Genomic DNA, 9287 nt, shown 5'->3' with positions numbered 1-9287 from the left:
CTTTATATGCATCATCTTATATATACTGCATAACAACGCTAGGAGGTTGATAATACACAAAGATATTAGAGAGAAGGAAACTAAAGCTCAGAGAGGGTTAAATAAACACCCCAGGGTCACAGGTCTAATGCACCTTCCAAATCCAAACTTATGCCTTACTTCATAGGCAAGGCAGTATGATATTCCCATTATACCGCCTTGTGTATGAAATCTTTGTGTAGACAGGGAGCCTATCCAAGAACTGCCTATGAGAGGCTGAGCTTGGGCTAAGTCTTTTACTCCTCAATGAGAGAAGTTACTAGCTGTGGCACAGTTAAATCACTAAAGGGAACTTTCTTCAAAACAGAGATGTGAGAATACTCAATTGTTCTCAGATAGGAATATAAGAAAGCTGTCTGCATTGTAAGAGTTGAAGAAAGAAGCAGCCCCAGCCCAGGGGAAGGAGTCAGAGACGAGGAAGAAGGCTAAACATTGTAGGCTGATGAAGGGGTGGACTTTGAACCCAGGCCTCAGCCAGTGCTGCTGTTGACAACGTCATCTTGAGAAGACAGATGAACAAGTCAGGGTGAGCCAAGAGGGAGTAAGATCCTGGTGCAACCATGATAAGACTTAAGCTGAAGCCTCACCCAGGAATGGTACAGGACTAAACTTTACCAGTTGCACTGTGAGCCAGTGAGAAACTATACCTCTGGAAGATTGGCCACGGTCCAAGGCTCCTCAGTGTGTGTCCAATAAAGACTGACCACCCTTTGGGCTCAGCAAAGCCCTGGGGTATTTGGTAATTAAGGGGTAGTGGAAGTGTCTGGGCTTCCTTTAATAAGGCATATGAGGATTTCAAGGAATCAAATGGAAGAATAAGAAAATGGATCCTATATGCACACTGAGATTGCTCCACAAGCAGTAATGTGACTGAGTTTTTCTTTACTATTCCTGTTGGTCTTTCCATTCCATTGGCATGATATGGGATAAAGAGCAGTAGGGATAACTTGCTCAAGAAATCCATAACTCAGCTGGGCACGGTGGCTCACACCTGTAATCCTAGCACTTTGGGAGGGCGAAGCAGACAGATTGCCTGAGCTCAGGAGTTTGTGACCAGCCTGGGCAACACAGTGAAACCCCATCTCTACTAAAATACAAAAAATAAGCCGGGTGTGGCCACGTGTGCCTGGAGTCCCAGCTGCTCGGGAGGCTGAGGCAGGAGAATTGCTTGAACCAGGGAGGCGGAGGTTGCAGTGAGACAAGATCGTGCCACTGCACTCCAGCCTGGGTGACAGAGCGAGACTCTGTCCAAAAAAAAAAAAAATTCCATAACTCACTGACACAAAGACAGTTTCTCTCCCCCAACCACCTCAGGATCATCATGTATGGCTGTATAAGCTATGCACTGCTCAGATCCAGTGGCACAATTCACACAGACTTTGATATGAGTGTTTCCTCCAGGAGTTATGCAATAAACAGATGCTGGACTGCATTCGTTCATCTGTTAAGGATCGGGTCAAACACATCCTTCTCCAGGCAGTCTTCCCCAAACAGTCCAGCTGACAAGAATCCCTCCGTCTTCGGTATCCCCACGGTATATTCTACAAGTCACTTTCTGCCTTGTAGTCAATGTTTCATGTGAATGGCTTGTCTTTCCCACCAGACTATGGCTTTTAACCTTTTTGGAGAGGTCCTAGGCCCCTTTGAAAACTCAATCAAAAGTTCAAACATTTTCCCCAAGAAAAAACTGCACAAACACATACAATTTTATATCCAATTTCAAGGAATTCATGGTTGCCCTAAAACCCATCCACAGCCAATAGAGCGTAGCTTCCATGAGAGCAGAGACAGTATCTGTCTTGTTTACCATGGCATCCTGATTGTTCACACAGTGCCTGGCACACAGTAGCGTAATAAATGCTTGTTGAATGAAGAAATGGTTCAACTCTGGAAGGTTCTTGAATACAGACTAAGTGTCAGAGCCATTTTTGTAGCTTCAGAGAGTTTTCAAGACAGTGGGCCCTTAACCAGCCTGGCGTACACTCAAAATGCTAGCTGAAAAATTATTGCTCAGCCCCACCTGGGATAGACACCTCATCCAGCCCAACCCTTCCAGGGCCAGCCAGACAAGGAAACTTCTCCAAGCTCCAGAGTCTCCACAATGGAAAGGCAACATCTCTGCTTGGTGGTCTTTTCAGGTGCTGAATGGGAAATCTGACTCAATGACATTTCTGGCCACTTAAGAGTTCTGAGAATTTATGCTTCCTTTCCTTGCTGCCCAAGAAAATAGAGAAGTTTGTTTAGTAAACTGAATGATATGGTTCATCAAATAATAAGCCCTCATATAATTTGCAAATTAAACTGTCCTCTACATTTTCATAAGCATGCACTCTTCTAGTCCTTGCAAGTCATACAGTGAAACAGAAAACAGATATTGTCCTCATTTTACATATCAGGAAGTTGAGGCTCAGAGAGGCCAAGTAAGTTGCTCTAGTCACACTGTTTTTCAAAGGCTAGAACTAGCACCCTGGAATTCTGTCTGTTTCTCTGGCATTCTTTTTGCTGACCTTAGGCTGCTATCTAAGCAATTACAGAATCATGTATTAAATGTCTTCTATATGCAGATGTCAGCATGCTCTGAGTTTGGCCTATCTGAGCCATGCCCCAGAGTCTGTCTGCATCAAACTAGAAAAGTTAATCTGCTCAGCAAGTATCACCTGCCACAGGGTTCCCATTGCCAAAGGCCAGGCTAAATCTGGCCAGGGACTGCCACTAGGTCTTAAGAAAGTCAAAAGCCAGCCACACAATTGCTCAAAATGGCCTGTCCCTCCTCCATCACCAAGTGCTGACCACAGGAACCACACCTCCTCTCTCCCATGAGTGGGCCAGGTGTGTCTTCATCCCTGGGCTGTAGGTTATGACAGAAGATGAGGGCTTGGACCATGAATATCCACAAAGAACAGTTCAAATGACTGAAGGAAAAGAGAGAAGACTGGGAAGTGAGGTGACTTCTTCGAGCAGGGGCCTCTGCTCTAAGGAAAAGAAGTCAATGAGAGGCATTCAGAGTGATCTTTAAGCACAAAAAGGGACATCCCACTACAGACGATTTAGACTCACTTTTTTCCATCTGTATCAAAAGTAAAAAAAGATAAGCACTCCCATTGCAACAGGCAAATTTTAGGTTAAGTGTGAATAAGGACATCCCAACTATAAAAGTGAATGAAGCTGTGGAGTGTCCACCACCCCTAGAGAGCTTTGGAGTACGATTTGCAACTCATGTTACCAAATTGCTTAAAGGCAGGTAAGCTTGTATCAAGACAAAGAGGCAGCCCAGTTGACCTCTATACTGGACTACTCTTCCCAATTTGACATTTTGTTGCTACCTTGAATCATAATAATGTGTTATGCCTGTATAGACTTTACAGTTTTCAAAACACTTTTATGGAGATTTGAATCACCTCTAATAATTCTGCAAAATAGTTTGGGGAGAAATTACCATGTTCAGTTTAGAAATGAAGAAAATCAAGAACCCACAGCCAGGCCGGGCAGAGTGGTTCACATCTGTAATCCCAGCACTTTGGGAAGCCAAGGCAGGAGGATCACTTGAGGCCAAGAGTTCAAGACCAGCCTGGGCAACATAGCAAGACCCCGTCTCTATAAAAAATTTTAAAAATTAGCCAGGCATGGTTGTACGTGCCTGTAGTCCCAGCTACTCGGGAGGCTGAGGTAGGAGGATCACTTAAGCCCAGGAGTTCAAGGCTGCAGTGAGCCAAGGTTGCACCACTGCACTCCAGCTTGGGCAACAGAGGAGACCCTGTCCCAAAAAAAGTGGCGTGGGGTGGGGTAGGGGGGAAGAATCCACAGCCAGCCAGTGAAAGACCAAGACAGGACTTGAACTGTGACCTTGGAACTCTTACAGGGTTGTGCTTTTTCCACCAGCTATGGAGAACCATGCATCTTACCCGCCGAGACCTCAACTCTCAGCTACTCAATTTCCAAGGTCTGAATCTTTGTGCCAGCCATTTGGATTTCTGAGAAAGCCCAGGGAAGCCCATACACAGACACTCAGGCCATAGCGGGCAAGAGTGAGAAATCACAGTGACGTGCTTATCTAGCTGGAGCTGCCTGCAGATAAGAAGGAAGATAGTGCATGTCACAGCAACTTCCTGGGTTTGTGTTCAGACCACCATTCCCCCTCGGCCCTACTGAAACAGACTCCAGTCATGAAACACTCCCCTCTTCCTGCCTTTTTGTCTTCTCTAAGTTCTTTGCTCTCCCCGCAAGCCTCCTCCCTTATCTTACGGCTCCCTCTCCTTCAGGCAAGCCAGGCCTAATCTCTCACCTCTCACTGGCAGGACAAAGAAGCTGTTCAGTGTGATGACAGGCACTGGGAAGAGACCCTTGCCCCCAGAGATCTCCCAGTGGCTAAAACACCCGAAATGAAGGGCAGTCTCACACTCTATGTTGACTGATTAAAACTCTAGAGACTTAGCGGGAATTACTTTATCAGAATGCCTTCCTTTACATCAGGAGTGGGTTCGTATTTATCCAGTCAACAATGGTGCTAGGCATAGGGGTACACAGCCCCAGGCCTCACAGCACTCATGGTCTGATACTGAGCTGCTGTGACTCTGTTATAGGAGTGCCATGATCCTGAGTCCCTCGGTCCTCTGGGCAGCTGGGTGGCAGGCACCAGGGCTTCCCTCTCACCATGAGGTCCTCATTTGTCATTACTGTGTGTGCTGCACCATGAGAAAGGTTGGGTCCTGGTCTAATGGACCTACATCAACCAAATCCAAGGCTCCTGGAGAGAGAGGAGGGGAAGACACTGAAAGGGAAAGAAAACCCCCAAACCAGAGAATTGGAGTCCTGCAGGCAAATATTACTTTTTGATATGACTGGAATTTATCTTACTGCCCTATCACTGCTGCCACCCACTGTCCATACCCACACATGCCACAGTCCAACCAAAGAATTCCTATGCACTGCTTTTTAACAGCAACTGAAGGGGCATCCTGGGACCCTCTAAGCATTTACTTGCTTTGATTTCCAAGCCTGCTATTTCATTCTTGTCCTGGTTTTCTTGAAATCTGAGGCATGAAGTGGCCCAAGACCACTCAGTAAGTAAAAACAGGGTGGATAAGAAGTCAGAGCAGGCACCAGTGTGCTTGGAATTCTGGCCCATCACCTACTAAACCTGTGACCAGAGGCTGACCACTTTACTTGCCTCCTCTCCCTTATCTGTACAGTGGGTATTTAAAGAGTATCTACATGGACTACTACTCAGCCATAAAAAGGAATGCATTAATGGCATTCACATCAACCTGGATTGGATTGGAGTCCATTAGTCTAAGTGAAGTAACTCAGGAACGGAAAACCAAACATCATACATTCCCACTTGTAAGTAGGAGGTAAAATATGAGGATGCAGAGGCATAAGAATGACAAAATGGACTTTGGGGACTCAGCAGGAAAGGCTGGAAAGGGAGTGAGGGATAAAAGACAAAAAATCAGGTTCAGTGTATACTACTCAGGTGATGGGTGCACCAAAATCTCACAAATCACCACCAAAGAGTTTACTTGCGTAACTAAATACTACCTGTTCCCCAAAAACCTATGGAAACGAAAAAATTAAAAAAAAAAATAAAGAATATCTACTCTGTTGCATTCTATGGAAGATTAAATGAGATAATACAAGGAGATGCTCATGGCTTGGCACAAAATAAGTGCTCATTTTAACAATATTAATATTTTAATTGGCACATAACAAGTGCTCATTTTAACAATATTAACATTTAATTGTTTAATAAGTCCTCATTTTAACAATATTAGTAGCCATGTCAGAAGCCCTCAAGTTTCACCGTGCAGTGCTGTTTTGTTTTCATTATTGTTTTCCTGCCAAACTACCCTTTGTGTCATAGGAGATTGACATATTTATGACTCAGTTCCTGATTCAGTGAAGAGAATGACCCTTTGAAATGTCACTAGAAGGGCAATTGCTCCTTGCTGCAGATTCAGATCATCAGTTTGCTAGTTCCCCACTTCAAGACCTGTGCCCCGTTGGCACAAAGCAGACCCAAAACCTAAGGTCTCTCCACACACCCTCAATGCCAGCCTCTTGAATCAAATTACGAAAGGATCCTCTTTTCAAATGCAACTTTGATATCAGACTAACCAAAAAGATACAGCACTCTGGTCTTAGTGACACAATTCTTATCTCACTAGTGAATCTTGCAAAGAAAGATATGAAAGTCTCATTCTCCCACAGAAGGGCTTGAGTAGAATTGAGATAGTGCAGTTCAGGGGAGACTTGCTATATTATATCTGAAATCGCTAGACATTTGAAAGCAGAAATGTCTTTCCCCTTTGAGTATTGCATCCTAACTGCCATCCAGAGATGATTTATATGTGCTCATCCTTATTACAGACTACACATAATAAAGGCATGATAGAAATCATATCTGCATAGATTCAGGCAGCTCTGGGAGAGAGGCTGCCAGTTTTGTTTGACAAGACACTCAATCAAGCAAAAAGGTTTAAAATATTCCAGGAGGATCTCACTGCCTGCTCAAGACTGTATATTTTTATCCAGATAACAGAAATCCTAATTGAATACAGCATTAGTACTCATTTTTCCTAACTCCTTTTTGCAATAAGAAGCATCGACGGGAAATTATGAAAACATCTTGCTTTTGTGGTTCGGGGTTACGAAGGAGGAGAGTTTGTCATTGGGTTGTTCCCATAAACTCAGGCATCTCCAGTGCTTTGGGTGCTTCTTAGCAGGGAGTGAGGACTTCTATGCACACTGTACTTGGAAATAAACCAACATATGGCTGGGTTTTTCCCTACATTTTTTTTCACTGGGTGAAATTTTTCCTTCAGTGCTTCTTCGTCTGTTGAAATCCCTTTTAAAGCCTTCCTTGTACTTATGATAGCAGGGCCAAGACCAGGGGGAGGCAGATGAGATACTCATCTGGGTGCACAATTTAAGGGGGCACCCAAAACTCAGGAATCAAGATAAATAATATTGTAATGAAATATTTTTTAAATAGAAGTGAATGCACAAAACAACCTATGACAAATACAATTTCAAAATTTTAACTAAACGCAGGAACTAGCTACTCTGCACTGATGCAAGATGCCTCACTCTGCTCACCCCAACCATGATCTCGTTTCCAAAAATACTGTATTTACAAAAATAGGCAGCTGGCCTGTAGATCAGAGTTTCCTGATTTTATTTATTTTTCTAAATATCGCATTAAAATATTATCCTGATCCTTGCTTTGTTTGGTGCCACCTTAGATTTTGTACAGGAATAAAATGCCCGAAATATAGACAAAGATGCCCCAAAACCCACAAGGACACTAAAAAAAAAAAAAAAAAAAAAAAAAAAAAACAAATTCACTCATTCAAATACCCCCTCATCACCATGGCACCAAACACCTTTACTCCAGACTAAAGGTGAGCAGAGGAATGGAAAAAAAAAATGTTTAGGCCATGATCCCAGTTCTCAAAGAGAATCTCCTTTCCAGCCCTTCCAAGAGCTGACAGGTTGATAAAACGTTTAAGGGCATAATGTTCAAACAGAGAAAAAAATTAAAAATGTAATAATAAAGTTAAATGTAACTGTTTTAAAGCATAATTATTCCGAGAGACGAGTTTTATGTTGGACCAGCATTTGAGGTAGCAGTAGTCATTATTAACGGGAACCTCCGAGAGAGAAGATTTAAATCACCAAAGTAATAAAAGCTGAACAAGGACTAGCACCTTGAAAGGCACTTGGAGAGAAGATTGCATACAAATGCAATTAAAACGATGCTTATAAAATACTAAGATGTTAATTGGGTTCAGTCCCAGAAGCCCCAGCAGTACAGTATGTCAGAAGTTAGCTGGTTTGAAGTTTAAAAAGAGTAGTTTAATTTGTACACCTTGTCCTAATTACAGAGCTTTCTGCAGCCCGCGTATCTGTATGGTTTATTGTAGCTTGGAGCTTTGTAAAACAAACACACACACCAGTTAATTGGGTTATTGCGATGGAAAATTGGGCTACAGAACAGCAACCTCTCTTGCTGGTGTGCCTTTACAGCTGGTAATGAACGCTCCAACCACGTCAGGGGACGCTGATTTGTAAGGTGTGCCGTTTACAGCTTGGTGATTCTGTTGGTCTGAGAAATAGGAGGTGATACCGTGAAAACAAAGAATCACACCAGATAATGTTCCCTCACGACCACACTCCCGCCCCAGCTGGCTTGTTTAGAACTTTTAGCACTGCCACCCTCCCCACCCCTGGTCCCTGCCCTTTCAAATATCCCAGCACGTCTGAAGGCCACATTTTCACATTAAAGACCTGAGCCCAGAATGGAGGGGAGGAAGAGTGGCTCCTCCAGTAGCCCTGTTTTCAGAGCACCTGCAGGGAGACCTTGGGAGGTGGTGGTTTTTCTCCTAACCAGCAAATAAATACGTAATGCTATCAAAATAGGATCATTAAATTGGATTAGGAGTGAGCGCAGCTGAATCATTTTCCAGAAGTCCTGTTGGAATGTGCTTCCCACGGTTGGGGTTTTGGCCACTTTGTGCCTGGCACTGGCACACTTCCTTCATGAGGGAGACCATAAAGCTGAGACATATCATAGGCTATGGGCTCTCTCCGTTAATCTCCCTTCCCCTTCTATCTCTAGCTGCCAAACAGGAAGCCCAAACGAAGTGAGATGAGATTGTGGGGACTTTTCTTCCTACCCCAGCTAACTTATTCATCTCCAAGAGGCTCAGAAATGAGCAAGAAGGTGGCAGGCAGTCTGCAGAAACAGCAAGTGGTTCCCAGCTTGTCAAAAGTACAGGAAGGCCAGGTGCAGTGTCAGCATGCCTGTAATCCCAGCACTTTAGGAGGCCAAGGCAAGAAGATCGCTTGAGCCCAGGAGTTCAATACCAGCCTGGGAAACATAGCAAGGCCTCATCTCTACAAACAAAAAAATTAACCGAGCATAGTGGTTTACGCCTGTGGTACCAGCTACTTGAGAGGTTGAGGTGGATGATCCTTGAGCCCAGGAGGTCGATGCCATGGTGAACCATGACCGTGATCACACCACTGTACTCCAGTCTGGGTGACAGAACAGGATCTCGTCTCAAACAAAACAAAACAGAATAAAACAAACAAACAAACAAAAAAACTAAAAAAAAAGTACAGGAGGGCCCCCTTGGTCAGTGACCACAACTGAGAAAGAAATATCCTTTCCCAGCCACAGCCCAGAACAGTTCTGCAAGTGAAGTTCATGATCCAGGGCAGTCCAGAGCAGCTGGCCCAAGGCAAAC

At 44.0% G+C, this 9287-nt stretch overlaps 1 annotated feature.

The window, feature by feature from the left end:
* Nucleotides 7301-8749: an enhancer, noted in NCBI's record as "VISTA enhancer hs1130". NCBI's record gives its function as "enhancer in: limb[6/10]" and the evidence as "EXISTENCE:transgenic organism evidence [ECO:0001131][PMID:17130149]".

This window comes from Homo sapiens, chromosome 5, assembly GCF_000001405.40.
Source record: "Homo sapiens chromosome 5, GRCh38.p14 Primary Assembly".
Lineage (NCBI taxonomy): Eukaryota > Metazoa > Chordata > Mammalia > Primates > Hominidae > Homo > Homo sapiens.
This window is presented reverse-complemented; position numbering and strand designations above follow the sequence as displayed.